At 36.8% G+C, this 18,989-nt stretch overlaps 1 protein-coding gene across 1 annotated transcript; it reads left to right on the forward strand.

Moving 5' to 3' along the window:
* Window positions 1-15,241: 15,241 nt before the first annotated feature.
* On the forward strand, window positions 15,242-17,377 carry CABS1 (calcium binding protein, spermatid associated 1). Its single transcript, NM_033122.4, has 2 exons — window positions 15,242-16,607; window positions 17,227-17,377. The coding sequence occupies exon 1, from the start codon at window positions 15,301-15,303 to the stop codon at window positions 16,486-16,488; it is 1,188 nt and encodes a 395-aa protein (NP_149113.3). The 5' UTR covers window positions 15,242-15,300; the 3' UTR covers window positions 16,489-16,607; window positions 17,227-17,377.
* Window positions 17,378-18,989: the final 1,612 nt, after the last annotated feature.

The following is an 18,989-nucleotide window of genomic DNA, read 5'->3' on the forward strand; positions in this document are numbered from 1 at the left end:
GGAAAAGAAGGAAAGAGCCCCAAATCAAAAATACCTACCTTTGCTCAAGACAAAAATCTACAGAGTATTTGGATCTCATACTCCCTTATCTACTGCACATGTCACTGAGAATCCATTGAAAGGAAATCCTGCAGAACTCAAAACTAAACAAAAATACCAAATGTTGAGCTCCAGAGAAGTAAACCCTGATTCTGACAAAGGTTATTTCTTTCTCAAAGATTATATTGCCAAGCCCTATGGAAAGTCACCCAGAATGATGATTCACCCCCTAGTAGATGAAAATAGAAATTTTTCTTCAAAGTTTTCAGATGATAAAACTCTGGAAGACAACAGCCCAAGTGGAAGTGACATCATGATTATTCTTCATGATGGTAAATAGATTGAACATATTCACATTCCAGATCCAGGAGCAATGGTAACCAGAGGAGAAAGCAGGACATTGCCAAGTGAAATCACTGATCTCACCATGAGCTCAACTCCAGTCGTAAACAGAGACCACTCCTACAGGAGAAACACCTCATCCACTGCTTTTAACATCCTGAGGAGAGCCAAAGCCACCATGTCACCCAACTCTGAGTATCATAAGAATAAAACTTTCAAGGCAGAGAGTTACCATTCATAGGATGTCACTATTCCTTCAGTTGCATTTAATGTCAACCTTGATAATGAACTTCCCTTTGTTGATGAAGATTCTGAAGCTAAAAAACACAAGGACTCAACATCTTCTTCACTGATGGAAACGACTCACACTATGGCTGATACTACTCCTTTTTTCCATGAGAACAGTTATGAAGGGAGTGATTATATGCAATCTGATGAATACAATGTATTGTCTAGAGAATTCCCCTTTCTACAAGCAACTGAAAGTGTAATCCTCAGCCCTAATGCCTTTACTGACAATTCTGTCCTAATGAGAGATAACTCCTTGGCTGACTCTTCAGTGTCAATATCAGTAGTATCAGAGGCAGTGACCGAATACCTTGATGTCATTAATGGAACTGATATTTCAGAAAATCAGGTCCTTAAAATTCAAACAGACCTTCAGCCCCACTCCTCGGACCCAATTATTCCTTCTACAAGTTCAACAACTATTAACAGGAATTCAACAAATGGTGATGTTGATTCATTATCCACTGTGAAGAGAGAAACTGTTGGGATTTCTAAATTTAAGACAGATGCTCATTCTTTGGGTATAATTATGAGAATACTTTCACCCAAACAAATGCACCCTTTCCCTTCCAAAATAAAAGAAATGGCTAAGCACTCTGTTGAGGAAGACACAGCTTCTAAATTCAACCTAAGTCATGTTACAAATGTAACAATCATCATTCCAACTTTGGAAAAAGCACTTCCTTTAACCTTTGAGACCAGCACACTTCGGAAGAGCAATAACAGTGAGGAGGAGGAAGTTATTATTTCTGAAGCAGACAATATTTTTTTAGGAAATTCAAGTACTTTGAAAGATAATTTTTTCACTGGTAAATTTAATATTTCTGCTGGACCCAAACTTCTTCCCAACTTAAAAATAATCTTTTCTGCTGATCCCACCATGTCTATGGAGAAGACTTTAAAGCTTAAGTCTAACAACTTTGCTCCTCCAGATAAAGACACAGGCTCAGAAGTTTTGTTCCATAATTCTTCCACTGGATCACACGGCCAAGCATGGAAATCAACCCTTTCTCCTTCTGGTTTCACATCAACAGTGAGGTCATCTAAATATTCAGAACTTGATCCATTTGTCAAAATGAAAAATGATGCTACAACAAAGACTAATAATTTTCCATTTGAGGAAAGAAATACTTCAACTCATAAAATCATCATTTCACCTGGTACCAATACTCCAACAACAGGAACACTGAATACTATTTTTAGTAAAAGATTTCCACACAGAAACTTTGCAGAGAAAGATACAATCCTATTACAGAAAACATATTAGATATTACTTTAGGTGAAAATATTCCAAATAATGACCATGTAATAATCACTGTGCTTGATGACAGAGCTTTTGAGAATGTCACAAATGAATATGTCCTGGAACAACAGGAGAGAAAATACAACCCTATTATTAAAAAAAACTCCTCTCACTTACAACCTCAAACTATTTGGATCTCATGCATTCTACTCTAGTGCTGATGCCTCTGGACATCTATCTCAAGGAGCCCTAACTGTGACCAATACTAAAGACATACTGCAAAATTTGGTGTCTAGAGAAGAGCACAACAGTTCTGACCTTGATGATATTGTTCTCAAAATTTCCACTGGCAATTTGAGTTTTGAGGCTCCCAGCTCTACGACTCATCCCCTAACTCACACAAGTGAGAATTGTTACAAATTTCTAGGTAAAACCATTCTGGGCAGGGACACCCTAAGAGAATTTATATCATCACCATTGTCCCTGAAGACAAAAAGATGGAGTACACCCTTGTTCCAGACCCAGGAATAACAGCAACCATGGAAGAGGGAAGGATGTTCCCAGATGAAACCATGGATCCCATTGTGATCCACTCTCCATCAAAAAATAAAAACCTGTTCTACAGGAAAGCCATTTCATCTGCTATTTATAAAACTGATATTCAACAAAGAGCAAAAAAATCTTACCATTCAGAGTAAACAATGTTGGAGGGAAAATTAATGTGACAGACATGACACACTCACAGGACACCAATTTTCCTTTGGCTGAGTTCATTGTCACTCTGATAGTGAACTTCCCTTCATTGATGAAGATACTGAAGTTTTAAATAGCAGAGCTTCAATCTCTCACCTATAAATGCAATCCTTACTGTGGATGATACTATTCTTCTCTTCACTGAGGGTGGTTATGAAGAAGGTAATTCTAGCCCACCTGGAGAACACAATGTTAGGTCTACAGGATTCTTAGCTCTACAAATTCCTGGAAAAGCCATACTAATTCCTAAACTATCAATGGAAAACCTTGAAATATCTGGCCCAGTAACTAACAAATAACCCCTTGATTAATTATTCAATTGCATGGTCAGAGATGCTTGAGACAATGATTGAATATGCTAATTTTATTAAAGGTAGTGATATTTTCATTACAAACCAAATGGACTTCAAGCCTCACTCCTTGGCCTCAACTAAATTTCCAACTGCAGACAATTCTACAAACAATGAATTTGATTCACCATCTTCTGTAAACAGAGAAACTACCAACATTCCTAAAACTGAAACAGATGAAACATATTCTGAACTTCAGAGAATAATAAAAGCCTTTTCTCCTACAAGAATCTCTCAGCATAGGATCTATAAAGAAAGGAAAATAACCAATCCCTCTGATCAAGACGATCCAGCTGCTAAATTTGATATAAGTCACATTACAAATACAACAGATCTCAGTCTAGCTATGGAGAAACCCCTTCCCTCAGTTACTGAGCTTAATAGCCTCTCCACAAGTGACAACAATGTGAAAAAGAAAGTTTATATTTCTGAAGCAGGTAATTTTCTTCCAAACGATGCAAGTACATTGAAAGATAATTCTTTCCCTGTTAAATTTGATGTTACTTTTGCTAAATCTGATACATCCCAATTTAAAAGGAATCTCTTCAATTGATTCCATATTAACTTTTCCAGAAGTATCTAGGTCTAATGATCAAAGCTCTTCTCCTGAAGTCACTACCAAAGAAGGGACCATTATAGACACTCCCACTGGAACTTATGGCCTACCATGGAAATCAACTCTTCTTCCTTCTAATTTCACAACATTAACGAGTTCTTCTAAGGACTGTGAATTTAATCCAGTTATCAAAATGAAAAAAGACACCACAACAACTAATAACAATATTACACCTGGAGAAAGGAATTCTTCATCTGACAAATTCAAACTTTCACCTGCTACCATTATTTCAACAAAAGGTATGAAAAATATTATTTATAATAGTAGATATGGGGACAAGACATTTATAGAGAAAGATATATCAATTGAAGTAGTTCCTTTTATAGAAAACATTTCAAAAGAGACAAATGACACCCCTTTGGCAGATGGAAATATTCCAAATAATGAGAATATGATAACTATTATGCCTGTTGACAGTGCCCTTGAATATGATGAAGATAATGATGTCTTTGCACCAGTGGAGAAAAGAAGTGTTCTCCTTATAGAAGAGACCATAGTCACTAATAATTCCAATGCACTTGAGTCCCATGAATTCTATGCCGGTGCTGCAGCCTCTGAAACTTTTTCTCAAGGAACTCCAATTGATATCAGTACCAGAAAAAAACACCAAATCTTGATCTTCAAAGAGGAAAATCCTAACAATGATATTACTGTTCTCAAAGGTTCTACTGCCAATTTTAACACCAAGACTCCAAGGTTCATGATTTATTCTCTAACTGATCCAAGTTGGAATTTTTTTGCCTGAATTTCTAGATGAAATAAATCTGAAAAATCATCCTCTAATTGGAGACAACACCATCGTCATTCTCCCTAAAAGCAAAAAAATGAAGTACCCTCTTGTTTTAGAACTAGAACTAATGTCAACAATGGGAGAGAGCAAGATGTTCACAGCTGATTCCATTGATCCTGTCATGATCACCATTCCTACAGAATACAGGGACCTGTTCAATAGGAAAGATTTCACCTGCTTTTTATAACAGTGTTGCCCCAAATGTAGCAAAGGCCACCATATCGGCCAGATTTGATCCAAATAAACTGAAAACAAATTTGGCAGATGCACTCCATTCACAGAGCAGCATTATTCCTTTGATTGAGGTCAATGTCATTCCTGATGACAATCTGTCCTTCATCAGTAAAGATACTAAAGAGGCAAACAACAGAGCTTCAATTATTTTTACATCTATGAATGAGCCAACCAGCACTGTGGTGGATTCCACTGTTCCTTCCACTGAAGGCAGTTATGTGAGTGGTGATTTTATGTTACCTGGAGAAGATAATGTTAAGTCTAGAGGATTCCAATCTCTGCTGAGAACCAACATGCTCCTTCTTGATTCCTTAAATGAAAATCCAGAAACCCCTGGCCTAATGAGAGATAACTCCTTTTCTGAATCTTCAATAACTAGGTCAGAAGAGTTAGAAAGAGCAACTGAATATGTTGGTGCCATTAATGGAGGCAATGTCCCAGAGAAGCAGGTTATAATAACTCAAACCAACATTCATTCCTATCCCTTGGCTTGGCAAGTTTCTCCAATTGAATCCACATTTTCAAATAATCCCACAGATAGTGAAATTAACTTTTCTTTCTCTGTGAATGGAAATACTCCTGGAAATTATGAAACTGAGACTGATGAAATATATTCCAAATCTCAAAGAGCAATAGAGAAAGCCTTTTCCCAGATAAAAGAGTCTCAAAATAGTGTCTACAAGATAAGAAAAATAGCTAATCTTTCTGATCAAGAAGATCCAGCTACTATGTTTAAATTAAGTCACTTTACAAATACAACAGTTCTCATTCCAGCTATATGGAAAATCCCTCCTTCAGCAACCAAGCTCAATCTTCTCTCCAACAGTGACAGTGATGTTGATGAAGAATTCCATATGTCTGAAGCAGGAAACTCATTTTCAGAAGATACCAGCAAACTAAAAGATGATTCTTTCACTGTGAAATTTGATGATACTTCTTTCAAATCTCAAGCACCTCCCAATTTAAAAGGAATCTCCTCAGTTTATTCCACATCAACTCTTTCAGAAGCATCTAGACCTAATGATCAAAGCTCTGCCTTTCATATTAGAGTCTCTAACACAGGCAGGTCCAGCACAAACACTCCAGCAAGATTACATGGCCTGCAATGGAGACCAACTCTTCCTTCTGATTTCACAACATCCATGGATGCTCCCATATATTATGAACTCACTCCTGTTACCATCATGGGAAAAGATATCACAAAGAAGATTGATTATAGCTTTCTACCTGAGGAAACAATTATTCCATCTGACCAAGTTATCATTTTGCCTATTACCATTACCTCTGAAAACTCCATGGCAAGCACTTTTAAAGAGAACATATTTAAGCACAAAGATTTTATAGACAGTGAGCAAGCTGCTGAGTATGAAAAAAATTATTTTATAAAAGACATTTCAGAAAGGATGGATGATATTTCTTCGGAAGGCAAAATCACTCCAGCATATGTGGATGATATAATTACTACGTCTGATGACAGTGGTTCTGAATATGTCTCAGATAACTCTGTCTTGGAATTAGAGGATAAAGCAAATAATTCCTTTATAAAAATGAGTACACTCAGATATTCCCCTAAGATGCATAGGTCTCAAGCACTATATACCACAGTGGCTGCTTCAGATAGTCTCTCTAAAGCAACATCATCAGAGTTCGAAGCTAAAGAAAAGTACCAAGCTATAATTCCTAAATAGAAAAACAAGAACTTTGACATCGAGGCCATTCTTTTCAAAGATCCCTATGCCAATGTCAAAACCAAAGCTCATAGACCCACAACTCACTTCCTAACCAATGCAAGTGAGAAGGCTTCTAGATTTTATGACAAAACATCTGTCAAAAAAAGGCACCATAAATGGTGATGATGACATCATAATTCCCTCTGAATGCTCTGACTTTGGAAATAAAATAATTGAGTATTCCATTTTTTCATACGTGAAACCTGTAGTTGACAACAGAAAATTCACAACTGATACTACTAATCATGCTATCAAAAGTAGTTATAACTTGTTCAGGAAAAACATATCACCTGCCATTTATAAGACATTTACACCCAGTAGGGCAGACACTATCACATCCAGTATACCTGATTTTGCTGAAGATGAAACAAGTGTAGCTGCAGCATCTGATTGAAGGTTTAGTGGTTTTCCTTTAGCTTAGCTTTCTAGTGATGACATTTCCAATATGGATGAAAACCCAGCTCTTACTTTTTCTCCTTTGAGAAAGATGTCGTCCATTAAACCAAATGTTCCTGCTATCTCCACTGAGGACAGAAATAACATGGCCTTTCTAGCCTTCCATCAGAGAGTGTCATGTCTCTAAAACCTACGTCTGTTGGAGTACCTGAAACTCTCATCTTAACTGCTAATTCTCGTACTAAAGACACTGCAGCTCCCAGACTTGCAAAAAGTGAAAACTTACATCATCATCCAACAATGTTAATTTCAACAGCATCGGAGCCTATGCCAACATATTTCGCTTACTTTAAGGAAGGTATTATCTCAGGAAGGCAAAACATTAAAAGTCAAATTGTTCTGAATGCTCTTCCATTGGTCTGTATTGTTCTCCAAGCTGCTTCCACTGACTCTTCAGACAATACTGGAGATGTCAAACCTAACACATCTGCTACTCTTATTACCAGGTACAAAATTTTTGATATTGATGCCTCTGCCATTTGAAATTCAGAACCTAAGAAAACAAGCACCAAGTTTTCTGCTTTTGTTCCTAATGAATATGATGATCCGAATTTCTATCACACAAGAGAAATAGCTAAAGCTTCTACAGAGAAAAACACAGCTAGTGAATTTTAAGTCAATCACCTTATAAATGTAAATATAATAACAGGAAATGATCTAGTTATCCAGATGGAAACAAACTCTATACAAAATGGCATTTTTAAAGCCTGTTTCTAAGGACTCTTTTCCTAGTCAAGTATCCCTGAAAAATCATAGATGTGCCAAATGACCTTCCTGGGGTTTTATTAAGAAATCTTCCTTTATTAGCAGTTTTCATGTTTTCACTTAAATGTAAGGAATATACTCTGGAACACATGTCAATAGATATAAATTTAATACTTTCCTTGGAAAAGACAAAATGTTTCAATTAGTGTAATAGATACTCCAACAATGGAAGAAATTACTATTCGGATTAAATAAAACTTATCTATAGAATCTGATTCTTTGTCCTTTAGTCAGATAATGTCTTCAATGGGAATGATCGTTTGGTCAAAAATGAGTATATTATTATGTATTCCCTGGAGCACATAACTTCAGTTTCATCCTCAAGAGTGCTAAAATTCCTGCAGTTCCACCAGGATTTTCACCATATGCTTTCTTCTCTTTGATGGATGACACATAGTCAATCTGAAGTGTTCTTTTGAAGGGCAATGTTTTAGAAAACATAGATAATGTGAATAGCATTCCCCTTAGAGAAGGAATAATTATGCTGCAATCAATGTGATCCTACCTCACAGCTATACTAGTGGAAGCAGAGTTAATGTGATCACAAAATTAATGCCTGAAATTAAAGACTATTTGACAAATTAATATCAATGAAGATGATGTAATTATTTAAACTGACATATCTAATTGGAGATGAAGCGCTCATAAAAGTAAACATTTTATAGCTTATTCCAACTCTCTTCATCATAACAAATACCTAGTCTTACAAGATATCTTCCAGCAAATATACAGCTAACCTCACCATCTTTTCTTTTCCTTTTTGTACACACAAAAAAAAACTTCACCAAAGTAGGTACCAAATCTTCTGTTTACAGCATGCTTTATTCTGAATTAAGCTTTATAAAAACTAAATGATAGGGGACAAAAATAGAGGTTAAGAAAATCCTCCCACTAAGTAAGCTTACTGAGAGAATGACTGTCCCTGTGGCATTCTTTACTGGCCCAGGAACTGATGGTATTTCTGTTTAGAAACATATTTTTATAGAGAATTATGATATATCTGCAACCAGGCTAATCGTCTAAGACAGAAAGCTGAAAACTTTGAAGTTGAGTCCATATTTAATAAATAATAACTATTTGTCCTTGAGATGGAACCCACTATTCAGGCTGATGTTGCTGCCCTTTCTCAGATTTAGTTGTGTCTGAGTATGAAAATTCAATTTCTTCTAACAACACTGGAAAAAGACTCATTCTAGCATTAACACTAAACTGCAATCTGCTTTCATCTAATTAGCTAAACCTTAAGGTTGATAACACAAGGATGTTTGATACAATTAACGTTATTATTAAAAATACTCCCTCTGAAATTGAGAATATAATTCTTAAAAATAATGCAGTTATCCACATCTTGATTCTTGTTTCTGGGTGAATTTTGACACATGACACCAGCTCCCTGCCACTGACAACCCTCCCTGTCTTCTGGGTTAAAATAACAGCCTGCAGAAAAAACATTCCTAAAACAATTTTAACCTACAAAACTTGAGACTCTCACTATTACTCAAGTAAATTCAAGAAGAAGTAAGAAATACAATGAAAAAGAGAACACTAAAGACCCAAACAGGAGCAGTGGTTCTCCCAGCACGCAGCTGGAGATCTGAGAACGGGCAGACTGCCTCCTCAAGTGGGTCCCTGACCCCTGACCCCCGAGCAGCCTAACTGGGAGGCACCCCCCAGCAGGGGCACACTGACACCTCACACGGCAGTGTATTCCAACAGACCTGCAGCTGAGGGTCCTGTCTGTTAGAAGGAAAACTAACAACCAGAAAGGACATCTACACCGAAAACCCATCTGTACATCACCATCATCAAAGACCAAAAGTAGATAAAACCACAAAGATGGGGAAAAAACAGAACAGAAAAACTGGAAACTCTAAAACGCAGAGCGCCTCTCCTCCTCCAAAGGAACGCAGTTCCTCACCAGCAACAGAACAAAGCTGGATGGAGAATGATTTTGACGAGCTGAGAGAAGAAGGCTTCAGACGATCAAATTACTCTGAGCTACGGGAGGACATTCAAACCAAAGGCAAAGAAGTTGAAAACTTTGAAAAAAATTTAGAAGAATGTATAACTAGAATAACCAATACAGAGAAGTGCTTAAAGGAGCTGATGGAGCTGAAAACCAAGGCTCGAGAACTACGTGAAGAATGCAGAAGCCTCAGGAGCCGATGCGATCAACTGGAAGAAAGGGTATCAGCAATGGAAGATGAAATGAATGAAATGAAGCGAGAAGGGAAGTTTAGAGAAAAAAGAATAAAAAGAAATGAGCAAAGCCTCCAAGAAATATGGGACTATGTGAAAAGACCAAATCTACGTCTGATTGGTGTACCTGAAAGTGATGTGGAGAATGGAACCAAGTTGGAAAACACTCTGCAGGATATTATCCAGGAGAACTTCCCCAATCTAGCAAGGCAGGCCAACGTTCAGATTCAGGAAATACAGAGAACGCCACAAAGATACTCCTCGAGAAGAGCAACTCCAAGACACATAATTGTCAGATTCACCAAAGTTGAAATGAAGGAAAAAATGTTAAGGGCAGCCAGAGAGAAAGGTCGGGTTACCCTCAAAGGAAAGCCCATCAGACTAACAGCGGATCTCTCGGCAGAAACCCTACAAGCCAGAAGAGAGTGGGGGCCAATATTCAACATTCTTAAAGAAAAGAATTTTCAACCCAGAATTTCATATCCAGCCAAACTAAGCTTCATAAGTGAAGGAGAAATAAAATACTTTATAGACAAGCAAATGCTGAGAGATTTTGTCACCACCAGGCCTGCCCTAAAAGAGCTCCTGAAGGAAGCGCTAAACATGGAAAGGAACAACCGGTACCAGCCGCTGCAAAATCATGCCAAAATGTAAAGACCATCGAGACTAGGAAGAAACTGCATCAACTAATGAGCAAAATCACCAGCTAACATCATAATGACAGGATCAAATTCACACATAACAATATTAACTTTAAATATAAATGGACTAAATTCTGCAATTAAAAGACACAGACTGGCAAGTTGGATAAAGAGTCAAGACCCATCAGTGTGCTGTATTCAGGAAACCCATCTCACGTGCAGAGACACACATAGGCTCAAAATAAAAGGATGGAGGAAGATCTACCAAGCAAATGGAAAACAAAAAAAGGCAGGGGTTGCAATCCTAGTCTCTGATAAAACAGACTTTAAACCAACAAAGATCAAAAGAGACAAAGAAGGCCATTACATAATGGTAAAGGGATCAATTCAACAAGAGGAGCTAACTATCCTAAATATTTATGCACCCAATACAGGAGCACCCAGATTCATAAAGCAAGTCCTCAGTGACCTACAAAGAGACTTAGACTCCCACACATTAATAATGGGAGACTTTAACACCCCACTGTCAATATTAGACAGATCAACGAGACAGAAAGTCAACAAGGATACCCAGGAATTGAACTCAGCTCTGCACCAAGCAGACCTAATAGACATCTACAGAACTCTCCACCCCAAATCAACAGAATATACATTTTTTTCAGCACCACACCACACCTATTCCAAAATTGACCACATAGTTGGAAGTAAAGCTCTCCTCAGCAAATGTAAAAGAACAGAAATTATAACAAACTGTCTCTCAGACCACAGTGCAATCAAACTAGAACTCAGGATTAAGAATCTCACTCAAAGCCGCTCAACTACATGGAAACTGAACAACCTGCTCCTGAATGACTACTGGGTACATAACGAAATGAAGGCAGAAATAAAGATGTTCTTTGAAACCAACGAGAACAAAGACACCACATACCAGAATCTCTGGGACGCATTCAAAGCAGTGTGTAGAGGGAAATTTATAGCACTAAATGCCTACAAGAGAAAGCAGGAAAGATCCAAAATTGACACCCTAACATCACAATTAAAAGAACTAGAAAAGCAAGAGCAAACACATTCAAAAGCTAGCAGAAGGCAAGAAATAACTAAAATCAGAGCAGAACTGAAGGAAATAGAGACACAAAAAACCCTTCAAAAAATCAATGAATCCAGGAGCTGGTTTTTTGAAAGGATCAACAAAATTGATAGACCGCTAGCAAGACTAATAAAGAAAAAAAGAGAGAAGAATCAAATAGACACAATAAAAAATGATAAAGGGGATATCACCACCAATCCCACAGAAATACAAACTACCATCAGAGAATACTACAAACACCTCTACGCAAATAAACTAGAAAATCTAGAAGAAATGGATACATTCCTCGACACATACACTCTCCCAAGACTAAACCAGGAAGAAGTTGAATCTCTGAATAGACCAATAACAGGATCTGAAATTGTGGCAATAATCAATAGTTTACCAACCAAAAAGAGTCCAGGACCAGATGGATTCACAGCCGAATTCTACCAGAGGTACAAGGAGGAACTGGTACCATTCCTTCTGAAACTATTCCAATCAATAGAAAAAGAGGGAATCCTCCCTAACTCATTTTATGAGGCCAGCATCATTCTGATACCAAAGCCAGGCAGAGACACAACCAAAAAAGAGAATTTTAGACCAATATCCTTGATGAACATTGATGCAAAAATCCTCAATAAAATACTGGCAAACCGAATCCAGCAGCACATCAAAAAGCTTATCCACCATGATCAAGTGGGCTTCATCCCTGGGATGCAAGGCTGGTTCAATATACGCAAATCAATAAATGTAATCCAGCATATAAACAGAGCCAAAGACAAAAACCACATGATTATCTCAATAGATGCAGAAAAGGCCTTTGACAAAATTCAACAACCCTTCATGCTAAAAACTCTCAATAAATTAGGTATTGATGGGACGTATTTCAAAATAATAAGAGCTATCTATGACAAACCCACAGCCAATATCATACTGAATGGGCAAAAACTGGAAGCATTCCCTTTGAAAACTGGCACAAGACAGGGATGCCCTCTCTCACCGCTCCTATTCAACATAGTGTTGGAAGTTCTGGCCAGGGCAATCAGGCAGGAGAAGGAAATAAAGGGTATTCAATTAGGAAAAGAGGAAGTCAAATTGTCCCTGTTTGCAGACGACATGATTGTTTATGTAGAAAACCCCATCGTCTCAGCCCAAAATCTCCTTAAGCTGATAAGCAACTTCAGCAAAGTCTCAGGATACAAAATCAATGTACAAAAATCACAAGCATTCTTATACACCAACAACAGACAAACAGAGAGCCAAATCATGGGTGAACTCCCATTCACAATTGCTTCAAAGAGAATAAAATACCTAGGAATCCAACTTACAAGGGATGTGAAGGACCTCTTCAAGGAGAACTACAAACCACTGCTCAAGGAAATAAAAGAGGACACAAACAAATGGAAGAACATTCCATGCTCATGGGTAGGAAGAATCAATATCGTGAAAATGGCCATACTGCCCAAGGTAATTTATAGATTCAATGCCATCCCCATCAAGCTACCAATGACTTTCTTCACAGAATTGGAAAAAACTACTTTAAAGTTCATATGGAACCAAAAAAGAGCCCGCATTGCCAAGTCAATCCTAAGCCAAAAGAACAAAGCTGGAGGCATCACACTACCTGACTTCAAACTATACTACAAGGCTACAGTAACCAAAACAGCATGGTACTGGTACCAAAACAGAGATATAGATCAATGGAACACAACAGAGCCCTCAGAAATAATGCCGCATATCTACAACTATCTGATCTTTGACAAACCTGAGAAAAACAAGCAATGGGGAAAGGATTCCCTATTTAATAAATGGTGCTGGGAAAACTGGCTAGCCATATGTAGAAAGCTGAAACTGGATCCCTTCCTTACACCTTATACAAAAATCAATTCAAGATGGATTAAAGATTTAAACGTTAAACCTAAAACCATAAAAACCCTAGAAGAAAACCTAGGCATTACCATTCAGGACATAGGCGTGGGCAAGGACTTCATGTCCAAAACACCAAAAGCAATGGCAACAAAAGACAAAATTGACAAATGAGATCTAATTAAACTAAAGAGCTTCTGCACAGCAAAAGAAACTACCATCAGAGTGAACAGGCAACCTACAACATGGGAGAAAATTTTCGCATCCTACTCATCTGACAAAGGGCTAATATCCAGAATCTACAATGAACTCAAACAAATTTACAAGAAAAAAACAAACAACCCCATCAAAAAGTGGGCGAAGGACATGAACAGACACTTCTCAAAAGAAGACATTTATGCAGCCAAAAAACACATGAAGAAATGCTCATCATCACTGGCCATCAGAGAAATGCAAATCAAAACCACTATGAGATATCATCTCACACCAGTTAGAATGGCAATCATTAAAAAGTCAGGAAACAACAGGTGCTGGAGAGGATGTGGAGAAATAGGAACACTTTTACACTGTTGGTGGGACTGTAAACTAGTTCAACCATTGTGGAAGTCAGTGTGGCGATTCCTCAGGGATCTAGAACTAGAAATACCATTTGACCCAGCCATCCCATTACTGGGTATATACCCAAATGAGTATAAATCATGCTGCTATAAAGACACATGCACACGTATGTTTATTGCGGCACTATTCACAATAGCAAAGACTTGGAACCAACCCAAATGTCCAACAATGATAGACTGGATTAAGAAAATGTGGCACATATACACCATGGAATACTATGCAGCCATAAAAAATGATGAGTTCATATCCTTTGTAGGGACATGGATGAAATTGGAAACCATCATTCTCAGTAAACTATCGCAAGAACAAAAAACCAAACACCGCATATTCTCACTCATAGATGGGAATTGAACAATGAGATCACATGGACACAGGAAGGGGAATATCACACTCTGGGGACTGTGGTGGGGTTGGGGGAGGGGGGAGGGATAGTATTGGGAGATATACCTAATGCTAGATGACACATTAGTGGGTGCAGCGCACCAGCATGGCACATGTATACATATGTAACTAACCTGCACAATGTGCACATGTACCCTAAAACTTAGAGTATAATAAAAAAAATAAAATAAAATAAAATAAAAATAAATGAAAAAAAAAAAAACAAAAAACAAAAAAAGAAAAAAAAAAAAAAAAGACCCAAACAGGCCAATAACTATTAGTTATTATCTCTACTGAAAAAGTGGGACTTCCTGTTATGAATAAGGGAACTAACTGAATTCCCTGCTACCTAATTACCTTCTGTAGCTATACTTACTGACAAAAACACCATTAATTTTTTTAGATACCAATTTTTTTTAATACTATGAATCTTAAGGGAAAATGGCTTCACCTCAAAAATACTCTGTTACTTGCTTGGAAGATAGACGACTTTAAGCTGATGCTGATAAACTTGTGGCTTCCAAAGTTTTCCTTACTAATTCTAAACCCAAAAGGTGCCTGGCAGTCTCTGCTATGTCTGTTTCAAGTAACCCTAGCTCTATATCAGGAGACATTTTCCTTATAAACAGAAACATGGTAAATCTTAAGTTCCCTGCAATTGAAATGCTTGGCTGTGAATTTGATTTCATAATCAGAGCGGACTCTATAGTCTTTTCATTCAATATTCCTGCAATTAGATAACCAATCGCAGCCTAGAAACAACCTCCAAGGAGACCCAGTGACATTGCTCCCATAGTTGATGCAACAATCACCATGATGACCCAAGCTTTAATCACTCTGATGAACACTGCTCTCCTGCCTAGAGATACCACTGAGTCCAGAAGCAAGACCTGTGAGAGTGCACAGTGCCACTTCGCCCCATGGCTGAAGATGGTTTGCCCAAAATTTATTCTCATCCTCCAACAGAAAGCAGTAAAACACCAACTGCAGCAACCATTTTCTTTGGGGCTGACAATGCTATTCCCAAATCAGAAACAACTATTACTTCAGAAGGAGACCACGTCACTTCAGTAAATGAATATATGCTAGAAAGCGATTTTTCAACAACTACAGACAACAAACTGACAGCTAAAAAGGAAAAACTCAAATCAGAAGATGATATGGGGACCGACTTTATTAAGTCAACAACTCACCTACAGAAAGAAATTACCTCTCTGACTGGCACTACAAACTCCATAACAAGAGACTCTATTACCGAACATTTCATGCCAGTGAAAATTGGGAATATTTCATCACCAGTTACTACTGTTTCTTTAATAGATTTTTCCACTGACATAGCAAAAGAAGATATCCTCTTAGCTACCATTGACACAGGAGATGCAGAGATCTCAATAACCTCTGAAGTCTCTGGCACACTAAAGGACAGCAGTGCTGGTGTTGCTGACGCTCCTGCCTTTCCACGTAAAAAGGATGAAGCTGATATGAGCAATTATAATTCCTCCATCAAATCCAATGTCCCTGCTGATGAGGCTGTCCAGGTCACTGATTCCACTATTCCTGAGGCTGAAATCCCTCCTGCTCCTGAAGAAAGCTTCACTACTATTCCAGACATAACTGCCCTTGAAGAAGAGAAAATAACCGAAATTGACCTAAGTGTTTTAGAAGATGACACCAGTGCTGTGGCTACATTAACTGACTCTGATGAGAAGTTTATCACTGTGTTTGAACTCACTACCTCTGCTGAAAAAGACAAAGATAAACGGGAAGATACTCTGCTAACTGATGAAGAAACTACCGAGGGAGCCAGTATTTGGATGGAGAGAGATACTGCAAATGAAGCAGAGACCCATTCTGTTTTGCTTACTGCTGTTGAATCCAGATATGACTTCGTTGTCCCTGCATCAATAGCTACAAACCTAGTGGAAGAATCATCTACAGAAGAAGATTTGTCTGAAACTGATAATACAGAGACTGTACCTAAGATCACTGAGCCATTTTCTGGAACTACCTCTGTATTAGATACCCCAGACTATAAGGAAGACACCTCCACAACTGAAACGGATATCTTTGAACTACTGAAAGAAGAACCCGATGAGTTCATGATTTAAAAGCAACAAAAGGGATACCATGTAGAATTGTGCAATAGTCTAGCCAGCTAGCCTTAACATCTAAGAAATTTTTCCAACAAGCAAAAACCTTTAGAAATGAAAGAATGTGGGCATTTAAGGCAAGTATTCGACTCAATAAATGCAGATGCTTAGGACTACAGGTCATGTAACAGATTTACGGAAACTTAGAAAAAAAAACCGCAGTGTAAGGGTCCCCCTAGTATCACAAAGTTTCAATATTCTAACAATTACTTAATGTAAAATTTTTCGTCCTAGCCTTCAGGGAGTATGAAGACAGAGCAATGTAGGGGCTCATTTCTACAACATTTAATGATGCATATCATTTAGTTAACAGTCAATATTATACTTAAGTGAGAATTAAGGATATGAAGAGAAGCAAATTAACCTCTCCAAAACATTACCATAGCCTAAAAAGTTCTCCCAAAATGCTTGTTCTAAGCAATTTTTTCATTAGTATTTCATCAGTGATTCTCTTCTATTTAAAAAATTTTTAATCCTCATATAAGAATTAAGACAATTCAGTAATTGTTTAGCACCCACATGTAAGATACATAAGATTTATGATAGGGTTCTTGGCACATGTTAGATACAAACTAAAGCAAAATGATATTTTACAAATATGCATATTTGTCAGAAAAATGTTCTGTAAACATATACATCAATTTAATTTTCTTTCTGTTAAAATGTGTTTTCTGAATTTTTGTCCATGTTTTCCAGGTCTTAAACACTGAATATCACACTCTTCTTATGACTCTTGTTAGCGATTCAAGGACATAAATCTTCATTCTTTTCTGGCACAGACTACTTAAATGGGTCTGTTTTCACTTTGCTCATTTTTCTTCAATAAATCTTTTTGGCAAGCAACTGATTTACTGTGTGTAGGTGTGTTTGATATTCTACTACAGACTTCTCAAATTAGGAGAAATAAAGAGAAATGAAAATTCATTGTTTGTTTAAAGAATAATATAGCTCTAATCCCCAGAAGTAAAATTATTCTATAGAGATTCATAATTGTATTACACTAAAAAAAGAAATAAGAACAATGCCAAAACACCAAGTGAATGAAAGATATTATGTACGGGGGGTTTGTATAGGGATTTGCACCATTAGATAAACTATAGACTAGAATAATCACAACAGTGTGTTAAAACCCAGAAACAAATTACGAAACAAAAATTTGTTATACAGTGAAGTGGACTTCAAAAACATGGGATATAATAGTTAATCTTACTTGAACAATCAGTATTTGGGAAAAAAATATGTTGGAATAATAAACAAATTTTTAAATTCTTTTTAAGACCATACTTTAAAATAAATTCTACATGGATTAAATACTTTAATGTAAAAACTAAAACCATACAAAAACTTAGGAGGAAATGTACCTGTATATCTATCCAAATGGACCTGAGAAATGTAAGCATATATGAAAAGGTGATAAGAAGATTGATAGGTTTGACACCATGAATAGTTAAAATTCTGAAACAAAGAAAATTAACATAAAATTAAAAAGTAAATAACTAATTTTATTTTACATAGCAGTGAAAAGATTACTATCATTTTTCTATAAAAGTTTCTACAAAGTATTTTAAATGAACAGTAGAAATTAACATAATTCATGAAACACAAATTGTTAATGAACATGTGAAAAATATTCAATAGACATATTCAAAAAATTAAAATAAAGCTAGTACACATCAGTTTTAGCCATTTGAGGATTGACAGTGATTATTGTACATATTCATTGTTGACTCATTTTCCAAACTTTCTCCAAATTTCTCCAGCCTTTCTGGAAGGCTGGAAGCCAATTTGGCAATACATGTAGCAAGCATTTTAAAAATTGGAAGTTTTGGCCCAGTTATTTTACATATTTTACATATTTTAGCCCTGAGAATTTTCCTAAGAATCAGAAACTATTAAAGTTCCAGCAGTTATTGAGCTCTGACTACTGGTCAGCATAGTTGTGTTTATATTTAGAATAACATTTGATCCTCATGATACCCTAGAAGGAGAAACATTACTATTCTCATTTTAGTGATAAGGAAACAGAAAAGCTACTCAACATGCACCAAGCTTCAAAGTTAATATGTAGCAAAGAACGCTTCTAACCCAGGCAGTCTTCATCCAGAACCCATGCTCTTTTAATCACTATACTGTAGGGGCCCTCAGATTTAAATACAAGAATGTTGGCAAACTCTTACACTGAAGAATGTGATTTTACATGTTCATAAGGGAAAAACACTGAAAACAATCTACAATTGTAGTCACATGTAATTAATTACACTTCTGTATACCCATATGAAGCCATAGCTTGCATCTTTTAAAATGGTTCTAAGGAAGAATATTTAATCAAATGGATGATATTTTCATACAACTCTAAGCAAATTTACACAGTGGTATGTATGCAATATACACATGCACACACATACACACGCAAGCAGAATGTCTGGATTACATATATCACAATATATAATCTCTAGGAA

This window comes from Homo sapiens, chromosome 4 (genome assembly GCF_000001405.40).
Source record: "Homo sapiens chromosome 4, GRCh38.p14 Primary Assembly".
NCBI lineage: Eukaryota > Metazoa > Chordata > Mammalia > Primates > Hominidae > Homo > Homo sapiens.

Coding starts and splice junctions, on each gene's coding strand:
- CABS1 (NM_033122.4), top strand. CDS start 15,301: ATGGCTGAAGATGGTTTGCCCAAAATTTATTCTCATCCTCCAACAGAA.